The 27,880-nt window shown below is 39.5% G+C and overlaps 1 long non-coding RNA gene across 1 annotated transcript, besides 1 other annotated feature; it reads left to right on the forward strand.

Moving 5' to 3' along the window:
- Positions 4,909–5,109: a silencer, noted in NCBI's record as "peak514 fragment used in MPRA reporter construct". NCBI's record gives its function as "represses an SCP1 promoter by STARR-seq MPRAs in K562 erythroleukemia cells {active_cell/tissue: K562}" and the evidence as "EXISTENCE:reporter gene assay evidence [ECO:0000049][PMID:32103011]".
- LOC124904471 (uncharacterized) lies at positions 10,513–14,259 on the forward strand. The gene is made up of 2 exons (XR_007066773.1): positions 10,513–10,569; positions 13,609–14,259. It is a non-coding gene; the product is annotated as an uncharacterized LOC124904471 (long non-coding RNA).
- The last annotated feature ends 13,621 nt before the right edge of the window (positions 14,260–27,880 follow it).

The following is a 27,880-nucleotide window of genomic DNA, read 5'->3' on the forward strand; positions in this document are numbered from 1 at the left end:
AGAAGGAAAACCTCTGGGAAGTCACGTATGTAATAGGAGATTATCACAGAGATTTGATCTCACACAATCATGAGAGATGGTCAAATAGTTGACTTTCTGCTGTTATTTTCACATTTATTACTGTGCCTGAGGTCAGCAAGGAAGACATCCAGGAAGGAAAGATAGTTGTGAGGTGAGGGAGAGCAATGACAAACTGGAACCAAGAGGACAGGCTGGAACCTGTATTGGCCCCTTACGGCCTCCCAGTCTCCAACTTCAATGATGCTAGTAACCTACAGGAGGAGGGGTGCTCTTTATAATGGGGCTAAACATGCACTTGGCCCGGGAGAAGCAGCAGCTGGGAGTGGTCCAGTGGGAACCGGAGGTGCCCAGCTGCTGTCCATGACAATAGCATGAGCCAGCAGACCCTGGACCATGTGTGCGCCCTGCACCAATTATCTCAATGTAAAAATCATATGGCCCTGGCTATTTTTACCTTTCAAACTGTATGCAAAGTATCTCCTATGACCCACACTAACCTGGAATTATGCAGTGAAAGAAATTCTGGGAAATGTAGCTCCAGCTTAAATACACCAACATGAGACAAAGCAAAACACATTATACATGCAGAATTATTTTGCTGGTGTTTTATTTAAATGTGAATTATTTCTTTCTCTAAACCACAGATAAAGCCCATTTTTGCCTATTTGGCTAAATTAATATATCAATTATTATCTAATGGCCAGATAATAACAAAGAAAATAGGTTCTTAGTCATGAGACATAATCACATGAACACTTAGTTTTACCCAAGGAAGGTATCTTGCAGGGAGAAAATAAATGGAAAATGGACATAAAATCCATATCCATTCTGAGAAAACCCCAAATTCTTCACTAATCTCAACATGTGCTTGAATTCCTCCTATACCTCTATGCCCTCATACCCAGGAAGCAAGGATCATTTTAGCCAGAGCAGCAGGAGACCAGTGCTGGAAGCCTAGGCTTCTCTTCATTCAACCATTGACAACATGAGATTCTGTCAGCTCATGACTTGATGAAGCTGGAATCTGAGGTTACACCTTCCAATTATACATTGCATAGCTGTTTACTTGGTAACCATGAGGAAGGCTTCCCACTCGCCCCTCTTTGGCATTATTGAAGTAACCACCACAGCCAATGATCCTGGAGGCTTACAGAAGTTCTTCAAGGACACTCCTCATCAGGATTCAGATAGGACAGGACTCTAACAGCAGTAGAATGAATGCATCTCTGGTCATTACAACACAGCCTTTCACATTCAACCATTTCCAGACTCTCTTCTGGAGAGTTGGTAGGTTAAATACCAACTCTTAACTGATTAATCAAAAGCAGCTTAATTCTTATTTTAAAAATGTGATTTTAGCATAGAATTAAATACTAGCTACAATCTTCCAATCTGAATACTCAATCTAAAATCTGGGTCTACTTTCTATTATATTCAATTCATAATGTCAGTTTTGAGAACAAATCACATGACAGATCAAAAATATACTGTCAACCATTTGCAAATATATGACTATTTATGATAATGGGATATCATACTTTTTAGTAATCTATGCTTAAACAGGCAGGAGACCTATGAGTAGCAAAGGAATAACAATGCTAAATCTCCTCATACACTTTGAACTCTATGTTTGTGAATTATCATGACTTGATTAGGCTGATAGCATCCTTGTCTCTGGGTTACTCCAAGTTGAAACACTGAATATTTGACCCTATAAGCTAATTATTATTGCTGTGGAATCTGATCAAAGTATTGAGCTTGTTATTTTTAGAATACATAGTAATTTGTGCACAATGTATGAAATTAAATATTTTTTGTTCCACATTGAAAACAATTACTGGTGGAAAGTAAATTATTAAAAATAGGTCACTGTATTGCATAAGAAGGTTCATATTAATGGGTTACTAAATACCAGAATGCTGATCATAAAAGAACAAGGCATTGCTATATTTGGCCAGGGGAAATTTCTGTGCAGTAAGTTCATGCTTATGTGACAAAGAAAGCAGCCTTCCAATTGAAGTCAGAATAATTTTTTTAAAATATATATTGCATGCATAGCACTAAAGCATCAATCCAAATTCATGTCTAAATGTCTAAAAGGCATTTAGAGTTTGGGGACTCACACAATAATAAAGGCCTGAAATAAATGGCCACCCAATCCCAAAGATAATCATCTGAGAGAAAGCCCAGTAAAAATGATATTGTGTATCCTTGATGAACATTGATGCAAAAATCCTCATTAAAATACTGGCAAACCGAATCCAGCAGCACATCAAAAAGTTTATCCACCATGATCAAGTGGGCTTCATCCCTAGGATGCAAGGCTGGTTCAACATATGAAAATCAATAAATGTAATCCAGCATATAAACAGAACCAAAGACAAAAACCACATGATTATCTCAATAGATGCAGAAAAAGCCTTTGACAAAATTCAACAACCCTTCATGCTAAAAACTCTCAATAAATTAGGTATCGATGGGACTTATCTCAAAATAATAAGAGCTATCTATGACAAACCCACAGCCAATATCATACTGAATGGACAAAAATTGGAAGCATTCCCTTTGAAACCTGGCACAAGACAGGGATGCCCTCTCTCACCACTCCTATTCAACATAGTGTTGGAAGTTCTGGCCAGGGCAATTAGGCAGGAGAAGGAAATAAAGGGTATTCAATTAGGAAAAGAGGAAGTCAAATTGTCCCTGTTTGCAGATGACATGATTGTATATCTAGAAAACCCCATCGTCTCAGCCCAAAATCTCCTTAAGCTGATAAGCAACTTCAGCAAAGTCTCAGGATACAAAATCAATGTGCAAAAATCACAAGCATTCTTATACACCAATAACAGACAAACAGAGAGCCAAATCATGAGTGAACTCCCATTCACAATTGCTTCAAAGAGAATAAAATACCTAGGAATCCAACTTACAAGGGATGTGAAGGACCTCTTCAAGAACTACAAACCACTGCTCAATGAAATAAAAGAGGATACAAACAAATGGAAGAACATTCCATGCTCATGGGTAGGAAGAATCAGTATCGTGAAAATGGCCATACTGCCCAAGGTAATTTATAGATTCGATGCCATCCCCATCAAGCTACCAATGACTTTCTTCACAGAACTGGAAAAAACTACTTTAAAGTTCATATGGAACCAAAAAAGAGCCCACATTGCCAAGTCAATCCTAAGCCAAAAGAACAAAGCTGGAGGCATCACGCTACCTGACTTCAAACTATACTACAAGGCTACAGTAACTAAAACAGCATGGTACTGGTACCAAAACAGAGATATAGACCAATGGAACAGAACAGAGCCCTCAGAAATAATGCTGCATATCTACAACTATCTGATCTTTGACAAACCTCACAGAAACAAGCAATGGGGAAAGGATTCCCTATTTAATAAATGGTGCTGGGAAAACTGGCTAGCCATAGGTAGAAAGCTGAAACTGGATCCCTTCCTTACACCTTATACAAAAATTAATTCAAGATGGATTAAAGACTTACATGTTAGACCTAAAACCATAAAAACCCTAGAAGAAAACCTAGGCATTACTATTCAGGACACAGGCATGGGCAAGGACTTCATGTCTAAAACACCAAAAGCAATGGCAACAAAAGCCAAAATTGACAAATGGGATCTAATTAAACCAAAGAGCTTCTGCACAGCAAAAGAAACTACCATCACAGTGAACAGGCAACCTACGGAATGGGAGAAAATTTTCGCAACCTACTCATCTGACAAAGGACTAATATCCAGAATCTACAATGAACTCAAACAAATTTACAAGAAAAAAACAAACAACCCCATCAAAAAGTGGGCAAAGGATATGAACAGACACTTCTCAAAAGAAGACATTTATGCAGCCAAAAAACACATGAAGAAATGCTCATCATCACTGGGCATCAGAGAAATGCAAATCAAAACCACAATGAGATATCATCTCACACCAGTTAGAATGGCAATCATTAAAAAGTCAGGAAACAACAGGTGCTGGAGAGGATGTGGAGAAATAGGAACACTTTTACACTGTTGGTGAGACTGTAAACTAGTTCAACCATTGTGGAGGTCAGTGTGGCGATTCCTCAGGGATCTAGAAATAGAAATACCATTTGACCCAGCCATCCCATTACTGGGTATATACCCAAAGGATTATAAATCATGCTGCTATAAAGACACATGCACACATATGTTTATTGCAGCACTATTCACAATAGCAAATACTTGGAACCAACCCAAACGTCCAACAATGATAGACTGGATTAAGAAAATGTGGCACATATACACCATGGAATACTATGCAGCCATAAAAATGAAGAGTTCATGTTCTTTGCAGGGAGATGGATGAAGCTGGAAACCATCATTCTTAGCAAACTATCGCAAGGACAAAAAACCAAACACTGCACGTTCTCACTCATAGGTGGGAACTGAACAATGAGAACACATGGACACGGGAAGGAGAACATCACACACCGGGGCCTGTTGTGGGGTTGGGGGAGCGGGAAGGGATAGCATTAGGAGATATACCTAATGCTAAATGACGAGTTAATGGGTGCAGCACACCAACATGGCACATGTATACATATGTAACAAACCTGCACGTTGTGCACATGTACCCTAAAACTTAAAGTATAATAATAATAAAATTTAAAAAAATGATATTGTGGAAGATTCAACATTAAAAAGAGGTAATATACATACGTTATAGGGGTCTTTGTAGATGTATTTAACTGGTAGGTGCCTTATTCAACCTTGAGAGGTTGAATACAAAATGGTTCACAAATAGCACAGAGCTGAGCACAGTCTTATTCCTTGTATCTACCGGGAAAGATCTGTACCAACAGGACTTTCCTCTGACGTGCTCAACAGGATACAGCCATGTTCACATTTAGATCACAATTTATATTCTTGAAAGAGGAAGTGATACTCATTGAGTGCCTAGTCTAAGCCAAGTGCCCAGTTTTATATTTCTCATAACTTTCTTATAATAAGTTCTATTTATCATTATCTCTATTTACTTGTTAGGAAGTTGAAATTCAAAGAGCTGAACTGTCTTAGAGCTGATGTATGGAAGAGCTGGCCTGGAACCCACATCTTTCTGACTCTAGACCTACATACTCTCTGCGGGGCACCATTTTGCTCTTAATAGCAACACTGTACCACCCACTGGCCTTGACTCTGCCCAGGTGTTCACTTGGCCAGAGCCCTTTGATGCCAGCTGTCTGCTGTGGAACCTAGCTCAAGTCCCCTGGAGACTGTGGAATCCCCAGAACTCTGTCACGTTGCCCAGAGCCTTTTATTATTATTATTTTTTAATCCAGGGGGTGGGGGGATTTCATGCCAAGTTTCCCTCATAAACACTCCTTCTGTTCTCAAAGCTGCTAGAATACCTCACAGAATCTCTTCTATGGTACTTTTAAAAAAATAAAAACAAAAATACAAGGAGCCATGTCACACACTTCCCCCAGAGATAAGGAAGACTGCAGCTGGCTCCCTCTTCAAAGGGAGCAAAGGAAAGGGAAAAATACTAAGAAAAAAGTCTAGCTTGCCACCAAAGTGTTGAATTTTGCAGTTCAACAAGTGCAGTGACCTGCTCAACTTTGCTATTTAGGACAATCACTTTAGCTACAGGATGGAGACTAGGGTGGGTACAAAACAAATACAAGGAAGTCAGCCAGCAGGTCCTTGCAGTAATCCAGGTGAGAGCAGATAGATGGCAACTGCTTATAAGGTTATAATGAACAGCAGCACTGGAGGTGGAAAAACAGCAAGTATACTCAAAAGGTAAAACCTAAAGACATATTTAACATGAATTAAAGTTTTCCAAAGCCGTTCTCCCATACCAGCCATTGAAAAGCAATATTCTTGTTCTTTGTGAATTTAAAAAAGAATCCAGACTTAGTAAGAAGAGATTTATTCAAGAAGGATTCTTCAAGGGGAAGAGGCTATTGCTAGAAGGGATGGGGGATTTTTGAATAAGGAGAGAGCTGTTATCACAGATCTGCAAGAGTCTCAAGAATTAGATGAGGGGGTTTTCTTTCACAGGGAGTTGTACACAGACTAGAAAACAACTGGGTGTGGGGAAGTGGGATAAATGGGGGCATGGTCAGACAGTGGACCAGAGAATGTTTACCTTAAGGCTGACTTATTCTTAGCAGGGGTGATATGCTGGGCTGAGTGGGACAATGTTCAGGAAACCGGGAGGAGGAGAGAAAGAATAAACCAAAGTGTGGTTAACAGTCATTTTGATCTCATTGACCAGTAATGACAAGCAGTTTGGCTAATTATGAGGGAAAGAATGAGGGTTTGGAAAATCTGTGTCTGGCCTTGTCATGGGTAAACAAGGAAAGTGTCCCCGAGTCTTATCTAGGTCATATGAGGAAGGGTGGTTTCTGCAGTAAGCCTTTTTCCCTAACATGTGGGGTGAGAGGATATTTCCTCATCTTCACTGCTTTTCAGGATCAGTTAACTTCGTCTTTTCTCAGGCTGGCTGCTAACCCATCAAAGCAGTTAGTTGGGGTCTGAGTACAAGGGTAAATACCCTGGCTCAAGAATTACACATAGGCTCTTAGGCCTGGGCTCTGAACTGCCAGCATTGGACAGTCCTACGGGTTATGCCATTGCCTTTTCAGATAGCCTCTCTTAAATGCACATATTTTTGGAAAATGAACAAAAAACTGTTGATAGCTTTAATGGGACACCAGAAAGGAAAAAAAGCTAATGTTTTCACAATATCCACTTTGAGCTAAGCACATTAATTGTATTCATTTGTTTTTTCATTCATGCAAAAATATTTAATGACCCTCAATCGTGTGCCAGGTGCTCTCCTGCACCATAAGGATTCAGCCACAAAACAAACAACAGAAAAATCCTACCCTCTTGGATCCATCAGCCTAGTGGGGGAGGTAGTTAAACGAGTACATAATACATACATTGTATAATTTCTTTCCATAATGAAGGCTATGAAGAAAACAGAAATTAGGCTAAAGAGATAGTGAAGGGTGAGTGTTCCTTGTTTTGTAAAGCAAAGTCCAAGAAGGCCACTGCAAGGAGAAATTTAACAGACACCTAAATGGGAGGAAAAGAGGAAGCCATGCAAAGACATAAGGAGTAATATTCCACGCAAAGCAGTGGGCATGTGCAAAGGCCCTGAGGCACCAAGCAGCTGAGCAATTTGAGGGAGAGAGAGAAGACCAGTATGGCTAGAGCAGAGCCCCATAGGGAAATGGGGAAAGAGAGACAGAATTAGAACAAAAGCATTTTTTCTCTTTTTTTCTGTATTTCTGTCATGTCTTTTAATCTTCACAATTACCCATTTTTACCTATGGGGAGAAAAACCTGAGATTCAGAAAGGCTTTGTGGACTTCTCAGGGTCACACAGCTACTAAGGGCAGAACTGCAATCTGATTGCAGGTCAGTCTAATCATCGCCAACTGGAAAGGACATAAAAAAGGCAGGTAGAGCACACCAGAGCGATTTCACCAACTTTACCTCCTTGCCTAAGCCTGGCTGGCCCAGTCTTGTAAGTCTCAGGGTAGTCAACGTGCATTGTAATTTGACTACAACTTGGGCTATTGAACTCAATTTTTTAGAGTCTAAACCACTTTTAAGATGCAAGCATTGACAGCAGAACTTCTAGCACCATTTGTGCCTCTGCAGGAGTCAGTTCTGGCTCCCTGGGGCTAGCTTGAAGCACAACAGTAAAAAGGGAATAACCCCTTGGGATTAAGATGGCAGATAGGAGGCAGGACTGGCTTGCAGCTCCCACTGAGACAGACAGAGCAGCGTGGAGACTTACATTATGAACTTTTGTTCCAAGGACTATGCCAGGAACATATCAGAAAATCTGAGAGAATCCACAGACCCTTTGAAGAAACTTGATCACCACTGCAGGCTCCCTGAGAGGCTGAAAAACTGAGTCGGCTTGCTTTATCAGTGGGGAGGCTCATGGTCTGGGGCAACTTCTCAGCCCTGGTCACCAGCGGCCTGGAAATAGAGTCGGTGCTGTTGGTGGGGGCACAGTGGGAGTAACACTGGCCTTTAGGACTGCAGGCTGCATGGGAGTAGGGTGAGGCCTATGACTGCTGGCTTTCCTTCACTTCCATGGGGACCTGTATGACTCAGCAGAGGCAGCCATAATGCCCCTGGGAACATAATTCCGTCGGCCTGGGAACCACACTCCCATCCCCGACAGCAGCCCCAGCAAGCCCCACTCAAGGAGAGGCTGAGCCCAGAAATACCCATCCCTGCACCCAACCTGGAGTTCTTTCTCTACCCGCCTTGGTAGCCAAAGACAAAGGTCATCATCTCTTGGGAGCTCTATGGCCCTGCTCACCACACCTGAGAAATCTGAATACTTAACCAGGTGACCCTAGGGCAAGTTTGCATTCTCCCTATGGTACCACAGCTGATGAGCTCTTGAAAGCACCACCTCCTGGCTGGAGGCCAACCAACACAAAACCAGTGCATTAAACAAAAACACAACCAAGGACCCTAAGGGAGTCCAGTTCACTCCTCTGCTACCTCCACCAGAGTAGGTGTTGGTATCCACAGCTGAAAGATCTGAAGACAGATCACATCAGAGCACTCTTCGCAAATACTCCCTAGTGCCACCCCAGAGCCCAGTAGCCCTGCTGGGAGAGATTTCTCTTCTCAGGAACACCAATTATTCTTATGTTTGGACGTTTAACAGTCCCAAATTTCTTAGAGGCTTTGTTCATTTTTTAAAATTTTTTGTCTTGAATAGATTGGGTTAATTTGAAAGCCTTGTCTTCAAGCTCTGAAGTTCTTTCTTCTGCTTGTTCGATTCTTCGATTCTATTGTTGAGACTTTCCAGTGCATTTTGCATTTCTGTAATTGGGTCCTTGAATTTCCAGAAGTTGTGATTGTTTTTTATTTATGCTATCTATTTCACTGAAGGGGAAAGTTCATAGCATTAAATGCCTACATCGAAAAGTTTGAAAGAGCACAAATAGAAAATCTAAGGTCACACCTTACAGAATTGGAGAAATAAGGACAATCCAAACCCAAACCCGGCAGAAGAAAAAAAACAAAAGATCAGACAGAACTAAATGAAATTGGAACCAAAAAAAAAAAAAGAAAGATAAATGAAACCAAAAGCTAGTTCTTTGAAAAGATAAATAAAATTGATAGACCATTGGCAAGACTAACCAAGAAAAGAGGAAGAGAAGATCCAAATAAGCTCAATTAGAAATGAAATGGGAGACATTACAACTGATTTCACAGAAACACAAAGATTATTCAAGGCTACTATGAACATCTTTATGTGCAAAAACTAGAAAACCTAGACGGGATGGATAAATTCCTAGAAATATACAAGCCTCCTAGATTAAACCAGGAAGATATAGAAACTCTGAACACACCAATAACAAGCAACAAGATTGAAATGGTAATTTTAAAAAAATTGCTAACCAAAAAAAATGCCTAGGAGTCTAGGACCAGACAGATTCACAGCTGAATTCTATCAGACCTTCAAAGAAGAATTGATACCAATCCTATTGACACTATTCCAAAAGATAGAGAACGAGGGACCTCTGTCCTGTAACATCTTTCTGGAGATCACAGAAGCCACTATAGTATGGAAAACCCCAATCCAAAGGCTAACTTTGGGTAAGTGGTGTGGTCCAGTAACATCTTTCTGGTGAACCCTGAAGGGACAATACTGAAGAAACCCCCCAATCCAAAGGAAATAGACTCCAGCACTGATTGGCCAACTTTGGGTAAGTGGTGAGGTACTCAGGTAAAGGATGGGATTGGGTTAGAGGCCCAATTTAGGGGAGTCAGAGTCTCTCCTACGACAGGGTGGGTTAAAGGCCCCTTACTAAAAGGCAAGGACGCTTGACCGACCTTGGATTAGAGGCCCAACTTAGAAGGGTTAGAGTCCCTTCTAAGATTTAGGGGATTAGAAGCCCCTCTCAGTAAAGTCTCTTTCAGCTAAAAATGGGTGTGGCACTATGGGATGTTAACTGCTATTCTCCAGGTTTGGCACTATGGGATGTTAACTGCTATTCTCTTTGGAATAATCTGCCTTGCACTCTTTGCTGATGGCTACGGGTTACAGGATTAAGCAAGTACAGGATCGTGGGACATGGCGAGCTTTTTCCTCCCCAAAAAGCGAAACTTGAGAGCTAATGAGACTACTGGAAAAGATCCCTTCGGTACCTACAAGCAGCCGCCTGAACGTTTCAGTGTCACTGCAATGGATGGGTCTTTCTCTGGCCTCCCTGAGCGACTTGCCTTCCCCACCCTGCCTCAGGCAATGCCTCTCTCTCTCTCTCTGTCTCTCTCTCTCTCTCTCTCTCTCTCAGCAGACTGGTTGAACAAATGGTAAAAATCACTGTTTATCTCCTCTGTGAAGTTTTGATTAGTGGGAAAAAGGATTTGTGAGGCTAGTCTTCTTAAGCTGTAGCAAATCTAGTGTGCTGTGTGTCTTCATGTATTGTTCTGTCATAATGAGGAGTACCTCAGGATAAAATGAATGCCTAGGACCCCATAGACCTGCTGTTCAAGATGGCCAAGCAAACTGGTCAGTTATAAATTTTACTGCAGGTCCCTAAAAAAACTGGATGAGGTTTCCTTCTTGTGTTGTATGTCCTTGGGAGCTTAACCTTGTAGCCTCATGGCTGTGCTTTCTCTTTTCACAATGGCAGCCCAGGTTCAGGGTACAATTCCTGGCTTAGAAAATAAGTCCTTTATCTTCTATGTATTTATATGTGTTGTGTGTGTGATGTTTACATACGAAAGGCCTTTACTTAATTGGCTTAATAATAAATCAAATACTTCGTCAGAAAAGTAAAAAGTATAATGCCTTTTCTTTAGTTCATGTGACTTAAGTAATCTTTAGGAAATAAAGACAGTTTAAAAGATTATTGGTAAAATGAAAATTGTTTCAAAAATGTAAACATTTGTTCTAAATTATGCAGGTCAGATTAAGTTTGCTAAATGCTTTAAGGTCATAAACTGCTTCCTTGATATTTGAAAATTGTTCAGCTTACCTACTTTGGAGCATTAGATCCTAGATAAGGCTGGGGGACATATGGAATTAGCCCTACCCCCTAGCTATGTAAAGAAGGTTTTAAAGAGATTTTATATAAGAAAGGATCTTCTATGATAGATTCTTGTCCTAAAGTAAAATGACTGGTTGTTCATAAAAAAAAAAAAAAAAAAAAAGGGGGGGGATGTTTAGGAGAAGTCAGAAAGTCCAAGCATGGTCTATGTAAGTTGTGAAAGAATTTATGACAGGGAAGTTATGCAAGAAATGTACGATTTAAAGATGATTAGGCCTCCTAAATGCTTCATAAAATGCCACTATAACTCTTACTGTACAACTTGCCTGCTTTACAGCTAAGGCCTGGGACATGTGGAGTTAGACATTGGAAAGAGTTAGACCTTATCTGCATTTCTGTCTGGTTGTAAGCTCCATACCTAGTACATAATTAAAATCCTGAACTTAGCAACCTTTACTTTTGGTGAAAACCTTAGTAAGAGTTAACAGTGTAACATGTGTTTGAGACTATTAAAAAAAAAAAGAAAAAAAGTTTTACACACAAGGCACAAGGCATGTAAGGACAGTAGAATGTGCTTTTGGTAAAAGATAAGAAAGCATGGGAATTGGGAATGCGGATTTCTTGCCTAAGTGTAGAGATTTAAAGGATTAAGTTAAATAGAATAAAGCTGAAGGTTTAAGCAAGTTGTGGAAAGTTTCTAAAAAAAATTTTTGTAAAAGAAATTCTGCCCATAACATATTGGCTAAAGTTAAATGGACATTATTCAGTTTTTTTTCTAAAGTACACACTGGAATAAAAGTACAACAGGCTTTTCTTACAGCAAAAACCTGCTTATGATCTGCTCTTTAACAAAAAATTGTAAAGGGTTATAAAGGTTTATAAGAATCTTACCTTATGGTCAAACTGATTAAGACTAAATATATTTGTCTATAGGGTTTAAGAATTGGGTTTATAACATTAATAGTGCACAAGTGCGGCAGTGACATTTGGCTTATTTGGCATAAAAATCATACATGGAGCATTGTCAAATATGAAATGGTGTTTTTCTTTGGGCTGTATTTGTATAAATGTGTTATTGGTATGTGTTCCAAAATTATAAAAACTCTGATAGTTCTGATATGCCTCAGTATATGTCATCAGTAATAATTATAATTGTTGTGTTAAATTATTGTGTGCCACAGAGGTAACTAAATTTCTTTGTCAATCGTGTTTTTGACTGTGGTTGTCCTAAGATGTTTTGTCATCCACAGACCATTTTTGTCTTGTTTTAATCCATTTTGAAAGGTGGTTTATAATCAGCTATAGGACTTGAACAGGTGTTCTTAAATATAGATTTCTGATAACTTTGGAGACTGTGACATCAGACTAGAGGAAGCCACTTTCAGAACTCTCAGAGAGAGCTGTAATGTTTATGAATATCAAACGGAAGTTAACTGCATGGACTAAACCAAAGAAGTCTAAAGTAATCTTTTTAACTTTGCTTAAAACGTTCCTGATCCTTTGTTTTGTTTTTCGGCGTTAAGAAAACTTTTAAGCTATTTACAGCTTGTAGCAATTAAGTATACTCCTGTAAACAAATTTTGGAGCATATTTGTTTCTCCCTACCCAATTTCACTAGAATTTGGGAACTATTTGTATTAACTTATAGCAATATAGTTATTTGCATAAGTGCAGTATTTTTTTTTTTTTTTTTTGTAACAGGACACAATTGGAAAAACTGGGTATTTTACCAAGGCTTTGACTGGAAAACTTAAAGTTTTCCTTTAAGAAATCAAACTTGACTCGTAAAGCCAATAAAAGCCCCTTGGGAAATGCCTCATACCTTGTCTACACAGTCTGTGTATAAGGTTTCTGACCTGTAGTAAGTAAATAATGCCACTTTCTATCAGGCCCAGAAGCCCCAAGTTGTCTTGGAACCTCAAGAGGAGAAGAATTTGCTCAACTCAGATATTTGAGGGTACAAACCCAAGGCTGGGCTCAGCTTTAAAAAAAAGTCTTATTTGAGATTCCTTATGGAACAGAGTTCCACACCAAAACCAATTTAAAAAGCTTACATGGCAAATAATTATTCTTGCTGCACTTTATACAAATAATTAGGCAAAGTACAATAAAGCAAATTGGTCTTACCATAATTTTTCTTTAGTATAAATGGAAAACTGGAGAAACATGTTTCAAGAACTATGGCACACTTATTATTAAATTCTAGTCTCAGTTGTTTTTTAAGTTTGTTTCTGCATTTTAGACTAGCCTTGCTTCTTCCTGTGAACTAACCATGATCTCTGACTGCTGCTTAGAAGAAACAAGAGAAATGGGTAATGTAAAAATCTGCATCAATATTCTAATTCTGGACACACTGCAATCAGCTAGTGACCCCATTATCAGCTTGGTTCCCACAGTTGCCCAGTTCATGGAAAGCTTTCTAATTTAGTTTACTTGGAATAAGTTTACTTATTTTGCTTTACTGTTGTGGAATATATTGCTGTTGTATTGTACTCTTTGTGTAGCAATGCAGGATAAGCTTACTGTTTTCTTAAACTGAACACTTATTATTCTTCCAGATATCAGCCTTTGCTGAAACTTGGAGTTATGAATGGCCCTCACCATACAGATGCTTTCTGACTGAGCTTCTCTCTACCCTGAACACAAGAAACCCTCATAGTTCGGCAGGAATATCATCGCTCCTATTCAGCCTGAAGAAGTTACAGAAGATGAATCTTCATCCTTCTGCAATTCTTAGGATTAAGGGTTCTTTTATAAAAAGGGAGGGGGAAATGTCAGAAGCGTGTGAACAGAGCAACTCCGTCTTGAATAGGGGCTAGGTAAAATGAGGCTGAGATCTGCTAGGCTGCATTCCCAAATGGCTAAAACCTTCTAAGTCACAGGATAAGATAGGAGGTCAGCACAAGATACAGGTCATAAAGACCTTGCTGATAAAACAGGTTGCAGTAAAGAAGCCGCTAAAACCCAACAAAACCAAGATGGTGATGATAGTTTTGCTACACTCCCACCAGTGCCATGACAGTTTACAAGTGCCATGGCAACATCAGGAAGTTACTCTATATGGTCTAAAAAGGGGAGGCATGAATAATTCCCCCCTTGTTTAGCATAGCATCAAGAAATAACCATAAAAATGGGCAACCAGCAGCTCTGTCTATGGAGTAGCCATTCTTTTATTCCTCTACCTTCTTAATAAACTTGCTTTCCCTTTACTCTATGGACTCGCCCTGAATTCTTTCTTATGTGAGATCCAAGAACCCTCTTTTGGGAACTGGATCGAGACCCCTTTCCTGTAATACTCATAGTAGCATCCTATGGGTATTACTAACCATTCTACCACTGAGAAAGCTAAGACTCTGGCAGTTACATTTACCTAGGTGACACCGCTAGTAAGTGGTGAGCTAAGACTGAAACTCAGGTTTGCCTGACTTGCCCACATCATGCTTCTTTCCATGTCAATAGATGCTTACATTGCAAACGTGCATTCCCTCCTTGCCAACAAATTATGCAGCTATTTATCAAAGAAAATGCAGTCAAGAATGTGAAAGAAATCACTGAGTTTGCTTTTAAAACACTCCATGTATTTCCATTAAGTCATTTGCTGCTAAAGGATCCTTGCAGTGGTCAAAGTCAGAGAACATTGGGTCTGTTTCCATTTCTCTGGATGCTTCAACAGAAACTAATGATTTCAAACATCTTTGACCAGTAAGCTCATCAAGGACGACTTTGAAGCTCATTGCCTCTAGGTATTCTGTTGCAAGGAAGAATGGTGTCCCCAGTAAGAATCCTACTGGAAACCTAGACTGGGTTTGTTCTGTAATAACTTGTTGTTTGACACAGCGGATGTTGCGGAGCCCAGAGAAGATGAAAATCCTTGGGATTTGGGTGTGTTCAGAAAAACATTTGCAGCAGAGCGTAGTAAAGAAACCAAATCTGGCTGAGTGAGATTGTCTCAGCTTATGTCATTGGGTTGGGTCCGACCATGGGCCGACGCCTGTCACTGGCTCACCAGTGTTTTGGGTTTCCAATCCCTGAATGCCTCAAGACAGTAAAAATTCTGTGGAAAAAAATAGAAACTCTCTTGGTGCTTCACTGTACAAAGAACAAAAGAGGAACATTAAGAAGGGCCAGAAATTAATGTCTCCTCCAAAGAAAACCAAAATATGCCTCAACATTCAGAATGTATTACCTCACTATAGCCTTACAAAACAAACATTAAGCTACATGGGGCAATGAGGGGATGGAAAACAAGGTGGATGTACTTCTCTAAAGAGGGACATAATTATCCTTATTAAATAATTGCTACCTGGTTGTTTCCATACAGCTAAAGAAAATTTATACATGACCAACAGGACTCTTCCCCCATAGAGGAATAAAGAACGATTAAAACCTCTCTAATCGGCATTTCAACATTCTCTTTTTATAGCTTTTCAAACAATGTCTAAGACAAAATCTTAGAAACTTGACACAGAGAATGAAAATGTCTTGGGTTTAGGACAAACCAGCATCTAAATTCTGACTCTGACATTAAGCTGTTGCCCCTTGGACAGACAAGCTCATCTCTCTGCTCCTCGGTTTCTGCTCGTGTAAAATAGTGAATAGGATACCTGCTGTGAGGATTTTTATGAAGGAGTAAAAAAATAATTAGGTAAAATTGTCAGGCACAGATCCAAGAACATAATAGGTACTGTGCCAGATAATTTCTAAAAACTTTTATATGCTCATAATCAATTGAAAAGTAAAAGCAAGTAATCATGTTTTTCTTTTTCTGACACCATTAATTTGATGTATTTTCAGCCAACTGGAGAAATTGTCCAGTTGTTTGAAATGATGAGATTCAGCAGTTGCTTTGGCATCATTCTGACTCAGTCTTTTACTTTGTCTACATTCTTCCTTGATGCTTCTTCTTTAAAGGTTAAGTAAAACTAAGATAATTATTCTTCAAAATCAACTCAGCCTTTTAATCACTCTGTCCACAGTTTTCCTCAATGCTGCTGCTTTAGAGGTTAATTAAAAATAAGAATTATTCTTCAAAATTCCTTCTAGACACATTTCTGTACTTTTTAACACCCATGGCTTTGGCCACATCCTAGAGGGAGCTTCTGGACATCTTTAAAGTAAGGTGCTGTTTAACAACCCCATCTTCCATCCCATCCCCTTTGTTGCCAAGTTATAACTCAAGACAGTCTCGTACCCTGGTATAGCTGTATTTCCTCACAGCCTTGACAGGATTGAAGTATGTTACTGCAGAGCTAGTATACCAGCTACTTTACAGAATCCTGTTTTCAGCCTCGCAGAAAAAAAAAGAACTGATGAAAAGTCTCAGAAAACTGAGAGTGACATATCACACAGGATAGCAAAAGTTAGCTCGTTACAGATTTCACATCCATGAGTCTAATATTTTTGGAAAGCTGCTGTGGTAGGCAGAGCAATGGCCCTGCAAAGATGCTCATGTCCTAATCCCTGGAACCTGTGAATATGTTCTTTATGTGGCAAAAGGAACTTTGCAGAGGTGATTAAGGATCATGAGATTGAGAGATTACCCTGGGTGATTCAGGTGGGTTCACTGTAATCACAAGGTTCTTATGAGGGAGATGGGTCAGAAGCAGGAACTGGAAGATGAAATATTGGTGGCTTAGAAGATAGAGGGGCTGTGAGCAAAGGAATGCAGAGGGCTTCTAGAAGCTGGAAAAGACAAGGGACAGATGCTCCCCTAGAGCCTTCAGAAGGTGTGCACACCTGGTAACACCTTGATTTTACCCAGGTGAAACCCATTTCAGACTTCTTACCTCCAGAACTGTAATACAATAAATTTGTATTGTTTTAAGGCACTAAGTTTGTGGTAATTTGTTGCAGCACCAAAGGAAACTAATGCAGCCACTAAATTTTATATTTTCAGCTTAATATTTGTTTTGAAGTAATGATGTCTATATAGGGTTGCCAAACATAAAAAATAGAAATGTCAGGCACTCAGTTCAAATTTCAGATAAGCAGCCTGGGTGTGGTGGCTCATGTCTGTAATCCCAGCACTTTGGGAGGCCAAGGCAGGAGAATTGCTTAAGGCCAGGAGTTTGAGACCAGCCTGTGTAATACAGTGAGACCCTACCTCTACAAAAAATAAAAATTAGCTGGGCATAGTGGCACATGCCTGTACTCCCAGCTACTCAAGAGGCTGAGGCAGGAGAATGGTTTGAGCCCAGAAGGTTGGGTCATGATCAGGCCACTGCACTCTATCTTAGGTTATAGAGTGAGACTCTGTCTCTAAAAAGTAAAAGAAACAAATAAATAGAATAAATAAATTTGAGATAAGTAAGAAATATTTACTATGGACCAGGCAATATTTGCAACATACTAAAAATGTAATCATTATTAAACCTATAGTTCATTTAACTGAGCATCCTGTATTTTATCTTGCAACTTCAGGTCTGTAAATCAACCATCTTCTGGGGAAAGAATACTTTTCTGTCTTAAGCCTACTTTTTTCAAGTTTTGAGATTTCAATTCACCTAGAACTATCATGTGAATATTTAAAAAGCCAAACTTCATCTTACCTAGTTACTATAGGCTTGGGTTGTATGTTTTTTCCATGTTTTAATAATAAATTTCCAATTATATCCACATGGAAAACACCTGGTGCCTAACACCTGATCCTTTGATCATGGCCTATCTCTTGGCCTTCCAGGAAAACACTTTCTGGTGTGAAGTGTACATGGGAGAGGGAAACTAGAACTGAAATGCGTGGAGAACAGACTGGTTTTGTAACTTACAAGAATATAGTGTGCTCTCTGTGTTTTCATTACAAGGCATGTCTCTATTTGGATGTCTCAAACCTCAAACAGATTCAAAATTTAGCTTATCATCTGTTTCCTACCTTTCCCATATCTACCTCCTTTTCTCCCTATTTTAGGGAATGACATCGCCATCTACCAATTTACCCAAGCTGTTCTGCCTTCCCTATCTTGCCTTACTCCTGCCTTTAGCCATGAGAAGAACATGCTACTGGTCCAAGAATGATGAGATACACAAACAGCAGATCCATATCCAACCTGTAGCACAGAGCCAAGCCCAGCCTGGATCAGACAACCCCTTTCAGCCTACCTGTCAACGTGGAATAGAGAAAAGTCAGTGTGACATGCCACTGACATTTTGTGGTTGTTTGCTGGGAAGCAGAAGCTAAAACATTCTCTAAATCAGATTTAATCTTCCTTCCCTCTGAGTCAGGAAAAGTCAAACTGAGTCATTATTGCTATTACCTTTGCAAAGCTCTTAGGAGTTTTATATGTCATGTCCAGAGCATTAGGGAAGTCCCTTTGGTGATCAGTCTACATATGTCACTGCTGGTAAATAATTTTTCATGAAAGCATGGTCCCCAATGGCAGATGACTTCACTGCTCCAATGCCAAATTTGTATACTAGAATCTTTTTTAAGGTTGAAAGCCTGACTCCCAGGGTCTGGCTTCCCTAGGAACAGCAGAGATAGGCTAGCTATTCTCTAATCCCATTCCTCTTCTTCCTGGACACAAAGACTATTCTCCACAGCCTCTGTTAGAGTTACATGTAACCATATGTATTAGGGTTCTCCAGAGAAACAGACCAATAGAAGACTATGCCTAAGGAGATTTATTGTAAGGAATTGACTCACATAATTATGAAGACTGGTAGGCCAACAAACTGCTGTAGAACCAGGAAGAGTCAACATCCCAGGTCAAAAACCACAAGTCTGGGAGAGCCAATGTTTCAGTTCAAAGGCTGGCAGGCAGGAGAATTCTCTCTCAGTAAGGGGAGGGTCAGTCATTCATTCTATTCAGGCCTTCAGCTGACTGAAAGACACACACACACACACACACACACACACACACACACACACTCCATGGAGGACAATCTGCTTTACTAAGTCTACCCACTTAAATGTTAATCTCATCCAAACCATCTTCATAGAAACATCCAGAATGATGTTTGACCAGATACCTAGGCATCCTGTGGCCCAGTCAAGTTGACACATAAAATTAATCATCATACCATATAACTGAATTCCAGCCAATGCAATGTAGGTAAAAGTGAGACATAGCAGTTTCAGGCTTGGCTGGTAGAAATCCCCATATGACCCTCCATGCTCTTAACCCACCTACTGGCTGGATGCAGGTGGGTATGCTGCTTTGTTAGGTATGTGTTGAAGACACTACATCCATGGGATGGAAAGAGCCTAGAGCCCCCAAATCACCACTCTCTGGACATCTTAGATGCTAAGAACAAACTCCTATGATGATGTTCGACTCATTTTACATTAAGCGTTTGTTACAGCAGCTAGCATTATCTTAACTAACATGCCAGGAATCATGACTTCATCTTTTAATTTTTCTCTCGCTGCACCATCTTGAGTTTTTCCACATTAATTCTGTTTTCTACTTTTTGTTTAATTACATGCCTGAGGTATATTCCTGTAGTATCTCTCCTTTATCTCAGTAGTTCCCAATCCAGAAAAAAAAATGCTTTAGCTGAAAATCCATAAATTTCACTCTGTACTTACTGTTGGTGTAATGTGTACAATTTCATATACGCCCTGATACTAAGCCACCCAGTCTTACTCTATGTAGCATTCACACATGATCTTGTTTATCTTTATTGTTTTTGCTTCCTTGCAAATATTGTGGAATTTTGTGGAACCTCAACAATATTTTCTATTTATTGGTATATGTTTATGGAAATCCAAAGGATGCACTACCCTTCTAAAAATAAACACCTGTTTTTTAATTTAAATTTTAGATTTAAGGGGTACATTGTTATAAGGATATACTGCATGATGCTGAGCTTTGGGCCTCTATTGATCCCATCACCAAGATAGTAAACATAGTACCCAATAGGAAGTTTTTCAGCCCATGCTCCACCTCTCTTGTTTTGGAATCCTCAGTGTCTATTGTTTCCATCTTTATGTCCATGTATATAAACATTTATTTTTAACAATACACTTAGTCACTTTTTATAAAACAGCATTGAATGGGTTATAAGAACAATTGTTTCCAGCCCCACTTTCCTCATCCCTTGGTTCATCTCCCCTTCAAACTACTTTTAACTTTTTCTAAGTTTTATAGTAATTATCTCAAATAAACATGCCTACACTTCTATTCCCTGATTTATCAGTTTTAGACACTATCTGTATTTCTGTTATAAGGATATGACCTTTTTGTTTTTTACATCAGGCCCAAACTCCTTTTGCCATGTATCCAATGTAATTTTATCATTTGTGTTTATGTTGTTATTTTACTTATACGTCGTTCACCTAAAAGCCAAGAAGTTTATTATGATTACACATACTTTCTTATAGAGCCTTTTTTGAGAAGGCCTTTTGTGTCTTGTAATATGTTCCTGATAATAATGCTCAATTTTCTCAAATGTTTCATCATATCAGGTATTCGAACCTGCTCCTTTTCTGAAAAATAACTCTCAGGAGCACTCCATTTTCCTGCTCTTGTCTGGGTTGAAAGGCTGATGCCTACCCAACTGCTACAAACTTCAGCACACATCCCTGGAACAGGCTCTCTGACCTTCCTGATGTGGTAACCTTGGCAAGCAGATAGCACAGTTAAGCGGAATGTCTTCTCTGCCAAGCAGTGGGTAAGAACAACCCCATTCCACATCTTCCTGATGAAGACTGAGTACTCCCTGATTTTTAAGAAATAGTTCCTGTTGGGAAAGACTCAGTGGAAGAAATAAACTGCTAAATGGCTATAAAAATAATTCCTAAGAATGTGCAAGCAATTTTGAAAGGAATGATCAGAGAACAAAAATCTTTGGGGAAAATATTAGATTGCATGTTACCAAATCACTGTTTGCCATCTATTTCTGTATATTCAACACAATCTATATATGTTGATATACCAAAGACTACTCACTGATCATTAAATAAGGCCTTTCTGAAAAGAAGACTGCCATTCCTAGTCACTCTTGTAGCTAAGCGTTTCCATGTGTCTGACTCTAGCCAATTGAATAAGGGAAGAAGTGATATATGCCACTTCCAGCACTGGCCAGAAAAGCTTCCATGATATCTTCCATGTTCTTTTCTGTTTCTAGCTGGATGGGAACGAATACAGCCCTCAGGGGAGCCTTGGAAGTCAAGTGATAAAGTGGTTGAAGTCATAAGATGGGAAAAAGCCAAGTACCTGGGTCCCAGTTTCAAAAAATGTTGTTTGACCAGTAGGATGACCAAGTTGTCCTGGTTTACCCAGAACTTCTCCAGTCTTAACACTGAAAATCTTGTATTCCAGGATACCCCTCCATTCTGGGCAACCCAGGATGGTTGGTTACTTCATCTACCAGGAATTGCAATAGTGTGTTCATAAGCTAGAAATAAGTTTTATTATAAGCCACTGAGATTTGGGGACTCATTTGTTACAGCAGCTAGTGTTCCTTTGACTAGTACCAACATGTCCGCATGTAGGGCAGTGTTTCACATTTAGCAATTTGAAACAAAGGAAAGAAGATATGTAACATACTTATGAGATTTCATGTCTGAAATTTTGATGCACTTTGTGTTTTTGCTGAATCATGATTCTGATGTTGTGCCAACACAGGGTGTTCATGAGTTAGAGTTTTAACTAGGACTTTGAATTTATTCTAATAGCTGTTCTGTATTTATAGAAAATCAGTTATATATATACTTTTAAACCTTAGCCTGATATCTACTCTATTTTTCATATCTAGGATATGTTAATATTCCAAGTATCCTTTCTCCCCCTCCCAACATATACATAAATATGTGCACAGTCACATGCATACATACGGCTGTAAACATATAGTATCTGGGGTGTCTGTTCATCCTAGCTGCTTCTTATCTATTCACAAAATGCAAATGCTTGAGCCTATACCTGTGGCAACAGCAGGTTTTCTACAAAGCCAGTCCATCACGCTCTAGGCTCCTATCTCCAGAGATTCCACAAATGCTTAAAAGAGTGTGAAAGACAGAAATCAGTCCTTCTTAGATCTCTCTTGATATACACAATGACGGCAGAGGGTCACCGGTTTTTATTAGAAATTAGCCTTTGTGAATCACATCTTAAAGTTTAGAAAGCCATGCAAAGCCCCCAACCCTGATAAAAGCCACAGCCATTGGAATAGCATAGTCATCTACAGAAGCCAATCTCTTTATGGTAGGCTACCTACAGCCCAGTGTTATGCTCAGTGGAGGGGCTCCCAGCCAAGCTGGCCAGGATCCTATGTTGAAAGTTCTTTATTTCCAGTTTCCCTATAAAGTTGTGGAAACTCTGGCTGTGGTAGATCTAGGATATATGACAGCAATGGAGTTGCCTTTTCATAACACATAAGGCAATCCAGCATGGAAGGAAGATGCCGGAAAGAAAAATATTTTACTCACCAGCAAAGCTGTTCACATATTTTGAGTCTGGAGCCCAATGGTAAAGACAGAATCCTATGCCTCAGCTGCTGCTATGAGTACCAGGACAGAGCTCTCTTCCCATGATGCTTTAGGAAAAGAATATCTCCAGCATTATGGACCTTTTCTCATTATTGGATCTGAGTACTCACTCTTGATATAGCCGCTATCAATGAGTTCACTTAGACAGTTCACCTACACAGTCACATGCCTGAACGTAACACTCCAGGAGAATTGGTTGGCATTAGATGTAACGTTTGCTACCCCTCAGAGTTGAACTACCAAATTTTAATAAATCCTCAAAACACAAGAGCCCTCAGAACTAAGGGAGCTATGCTCAGCGATTCCAAGGTGACTTCTGTCCTGCTCTACTCTAGTGGAGACCTCTAGTCCCACCACCTACAACTACATATAGAGAATATAGAAACATGAACATGATCTGTCTGCTTGGACAGAAAACATATAAGAAGTGTTGAGAATGCATGATGATTATTAGAAAAGGCACTGTTTGTTTTGTATATGGGTTCTTGGTTTGTATGAAGCACCTCGACCTTTCGTGAAAGTGAAAATTCAAGACAAACAGTTCCATTGAGACATCTACCTACTTTTGAGCAGGGTTGAAAGAACAACAGAATTGAATCACTCTAAGCGAAGAAGCAGAGTGTGTGAGGTCTAGGCAGAAGCAAGACAAGAGGAGTTCCGGAGGAGAAAAGTGTGTGACTCATTGGGCAGGCATCACATCTCTTATTCCTGACACCCTCTCACCCTAGGGTTGGGTGAGTCATTCCCAATGAGGAGATATACAAGCAACTCCCAGAAGAAGCCTCCATGGAATGACTCCTCAGGTCCCAGATGTCCTCCAGAGCAACAGAACCTATGAGTGGCTAAGGTCAACAGAAAGCAACAATGGACCCCAATAATCTGCAAGTGATGTTGAGGGTTCCTTAAGAAGGGCAGATAGAAAAAGGCAGAAACAAGACTATCTTCAACCAAGTTGCGTAGAAAAGTCTATAACTTCTGATATTCTTCAGACATTTGAGCTGAGTACCTGGAGGTGAAAGTCAAATAGAGGGAATCATTTGAAAGCATGAGCTCCAGAACCGCACAGACTGGGCTCAAATTCCAGCCCATCCCTTACCTCCTCTGTGCTCTGGGCAAGTTCCTTGATCTTCATGTAGAAGGAATCTTAATTCCTTCATCTATAAAATGAGAATAATAGTTCCTAAACTCATAAGACCAATTTTGAGGGTTAAAACGTAGTACATTCAAATAACTTAGAGTTCATGACACATAGTAAGTCCTCATTACCTTATCAGCTACTATATCATCATCATCATCATCATGAGGCCACTATGAGCAATGGCATCTATTTCCCAGCTTTCTGGGCCAGGAAGTTTACACAGCTTAAAAGGAAACAAGTGCTCAAGCCTGTAATCCCAGCACTTTGGGAGGCCGAGGCAGGTGGATCACCAGGTCAGGAGATCGAGACCATCCTGGCTAACACGATGAAACCCCGTCTCTACTAAAAATACAAAAAATTAGCTGGGCGTGGTGGCAGGTGCCTGTAGTCCCAGCTACTTGAGAGGCTGAGGCAGGAGAATGGCATGAACCCAGGAGGTGGAGCTTGCAGTGAGCCGAGATCGCACCACGGCACTCCAGCCTGGGCAACAGAGTGAGACTCCGTCTCAAAAAAAAAAAAAAAAAAAAAAAAAGGAAACAAGATGAATTGATTGAGACCTAGAAGACGGCTCACAAACTCAGGTCATCCTTAACATGGGCCTGTACAACCACAGCGCGAGGAAGACGTGAACACTTAGATTAGCAGCAATGGCAGGCAGGACATTCATCTCATTCACAGGCAATGTGTGACTGACACACAGGTGAGTCAATGTGTGTGGCAGGAGGGAACAAAATGAGTTGTGATACAAATGGAGAAGTGGAGGGGGGAAGGGTAGACAGCAAAACAAGAGGCAGGCAAGAAGTAGAAAGGAACACAGAAACTCATCTGGGCTCTGGACTCAACTGTGATATTCCACTGATATTTTTAACATATGGTAAGTCCTCATTCCCTATCAGCGACTATATATCATCATCACCATCCATTGACTTCCAGCATTTTCCTCCTGCGACTCCTTCTCAGGGTCCTATTAAATATTTTCATAACTACTTTGCTGTTAGACTCATCCTAAATACAAGGCAAGTCAATAACTCTACCCATTCTTTGTGTGATATATGTATTGTAATAAGGAATGTTATTAAAGGAATAACATCCTTCATGACCCAGAGACTTTCCCCAGCATCTACAAATTACACCACGCTCTATGAGCTCCTGCAAGAGTCTTGTTTGGCAAAACAAAAATCACAGGATACAAGCTCATGTGTAATTTTTAAATCATCTTCCTCTTCAGTAATAAAGTACAAAATGTTCCTCAATGTGCTGACATCCTCTAGATGACCATGGAGATCATGGAAGGAGTGGAAGAGGGAGCTTGAATTTTCCACAAAATTAAAATTCATTAAAATTCATTAAGGTTGTTAAGCTAAGAAATCATACAGGGATAAGGGACGCCTTCTTGATGGAAGTCCTTGTTTCAAATATTCAATAAAATGCTAACCTTATTTTCCCTATGCTTTATGAAATTTTTTTTACAATTTGATTTTAAAAAAAGAAAAAACAGAAAGTGTAAGTTATCTAAGTACAGATGAGGGGAATGGCTTTTTCCTTCATATTTGCCTTCATGAATAGGTGGCTATATGTTTTTGTTATCATCCTATAAGAAGTGAATTATATATGTCTGTGAGCTGTTACTCTAAAAGAAAAATAAAAAACATTCTTCAAGTGTAGGGCCAAAGACACTAACAGTTTTCACCACCAACAATCCAACCACTGATTTATTTAATATAATTAAGGCTTCAGTTACCCAGTAAGAGCCAAAGAATATTTGCTTTCCTCTAAAATGCCTCTTCTATGATCCCAAGAGGTCCACAGGGTCTCCCAGAAATATGTTTTTTCTCCATAGCCAAGTATTTTGCCACATGTGTTTGTTATGATTGGCTGAGCCTGTGGTGACCACTATTTAATTAGGGCAAGATTGAACCTCCTCAGAGAAGATGTGTCTCATGTTTTTAAGATCTGGCCATCTGAGAGTGCCCTCACACATACAAACCAAGGAAGCCACAATTCTTTTAGTGAAACAGATTTCTCTTCATGTAAGGAGTGGACAATGTTAATATTCTCAAGTAATATATTGGTACAAATAATTTCAAAACTCAGGACATCTGTTTTTGAAAATGAAAAAATGTATTTTTTACTATTATATTTCTGTGTATTTTCAGATGACAAGATTTCATCATGGGTACATTTAACTATGACTTCTAGTTCAAGACATTTGATAAAAATGTGTCAAATTAAATAACTCATAATTTTCATCCTAATGTGAATTCCCTCCAGGCATATTTTTATAATTGTCTCCATTTAAAAAAAGTTTCCTCAGAATTGTTTTCTTTGCCTTGCATTCTATTTTATACCTTTTCATAAATGAGGAAGGTATATTGTATGCTCTCCTCCTATAATTCTTGTGTTATATGTAGCAGAATCATAACAAAATTATCATCCTCAAAATTACACTAGAAGTATTTTTTGCCATGAATAATAATTATTATACACTATATAATAATATAGTGCTTCCTCTGAGACAGGCACTATTTGTTGGTTTTTTTTTTTTGTTTTTTTTGTTTTGGGATATGGGGTCTGTCACCCAGATTGGAGTGCAGTGGCACCATTATGGCTTACTACAGCCTTGAACTCATGGGCTCAAGTGATCCTCCCACCTCAGCCTCTCTCCCAAGTAGCTGGGACTACAAGTGTGCACCATCATGCCTAGCTAATTTGGTGGGGTTTTTTTGTTTGTTTGTTTTGGTAGATGGGTCAAGTGTGGGTCTCATTATGTTGGCACAGGTTGGTTTTGAACTGCTGGAGTCAAGTGACCTACCTGCTTCAGCCTCCCAAAGTGCTGGGATTACAGGCATGAGCCACCATGTCCTACTCTGGCACTATTCTAAGTGCTTTTTATCAGTTTATTTAATACTCAAAAGAGCCCTGTGGAAAGGCTACTACAATGATCTCCCCTTTTCAGATGGGGGGCTTGAGGCACAGAGGAGTTACATAACAACACACACCAGTCACACAGCTAATAAGCAGCAGAGTCAGTTTTCAAACACAGTAGCACTCAGGGACCCATTCTCTTATCACCAAGCTGGGCTACCTGTCTGAACTTGTATCACTTTACACTATTGCCACAAAGAGATTTCAAAAATACCAAAATGATCTTGTCACATCTCTGTGGACAGACCTCCGATACCTCCCACTGTTCCAAATGTCCATGCCTTATACATTTTACACATTTACCTCATTGTATGGAATTTATGTTTGTATAACTCCACATAATAAATTTTTTTATTTTTGTGAACTATAATATGACTTGTTAGGTGTTTGTGCAATAAAAGAGCAGAAGGACCGTGCTGAAGGACCAGTCAGATCCTGCTAGCTGGACCCCACAGTGTGAGCAGCTACAGGGGAACAACCATGGGAATAAGGGAGTTGAGTCAGGTTCCACCGAGAAGCAAATACATTTATTCTAAAGGCCAAATGAATTATTTGGTTGGAAAAAATTAAGAAAATGCTATAATGGTGTAATATTGGGTACCTCAATGTACTTAACAATTGCCCCTCTCTCACTCACTGTAAAACCTGGAAAGAATGTTAGAAATTAAATATTCTACACCCTCAGTTTACAGACGAAATACAGGCCCATAGAGATGAAGTGACTTGTCTAGTTTCATCCACTCCCTAGAAGCAAGGCCGGGTCTAGCATCCCTTTCTCCTGACCTCCTTCCAGTTCTCTTTCTCTGGTTATCACACAAGTACTTTTCAATCTGCTCTGCCCATCTGAAACTGTACCTCTTGTTTTCCTGCTTAATTTCAACTAAATGAGATTTGGTTTCATCAAGCATCTACCACCACCTCAGGCTTTTAAAACTGGAATTTAGGGAGGGGTCCATCAGTATTTTTTGTTTTTTTACATTTTTAAAGAAAAGTTCTTCAGAAGTAGAATGTAGTTTAACATTTAATCGTAAAGGATCATCCCATTTCCTCAACTATTAACTCTTGGACAGTCTTGCTTTATCTCTACCCCAGCTTACTCCTTCTCCTACTTTCAGATGATTTTTAAGCAAATTCCAGACATCATATTATTTCATCTGTAAATAGTATGAATCTCTAAAAAGTAGGTCTGTTAAAAAACTAAACCACAATATCATTATCACACCTAAAAATATTAACCTTAATTTCTTAATATTCCAAGATGTCCAATCAGTGTTCAAATTTCCCTGATTAGCTAATTTTTTAGGGAAAGATCTAAATAAGGTCTATACCTTGTGATTGGTGG

The sequence above is a fragment of the Homo sapiens genome, chromosome 1 (assembly GCF_000001405.40).
Source record: "Homo sapiens chromosome 1, GRCh38.p14 Primary Assembly".
Taxonomy (NCBI): Eukaryota; Metazoa; Chordata; class Mammalia; order Primates; family Hominidae; genus Homo; species Homo sapiens.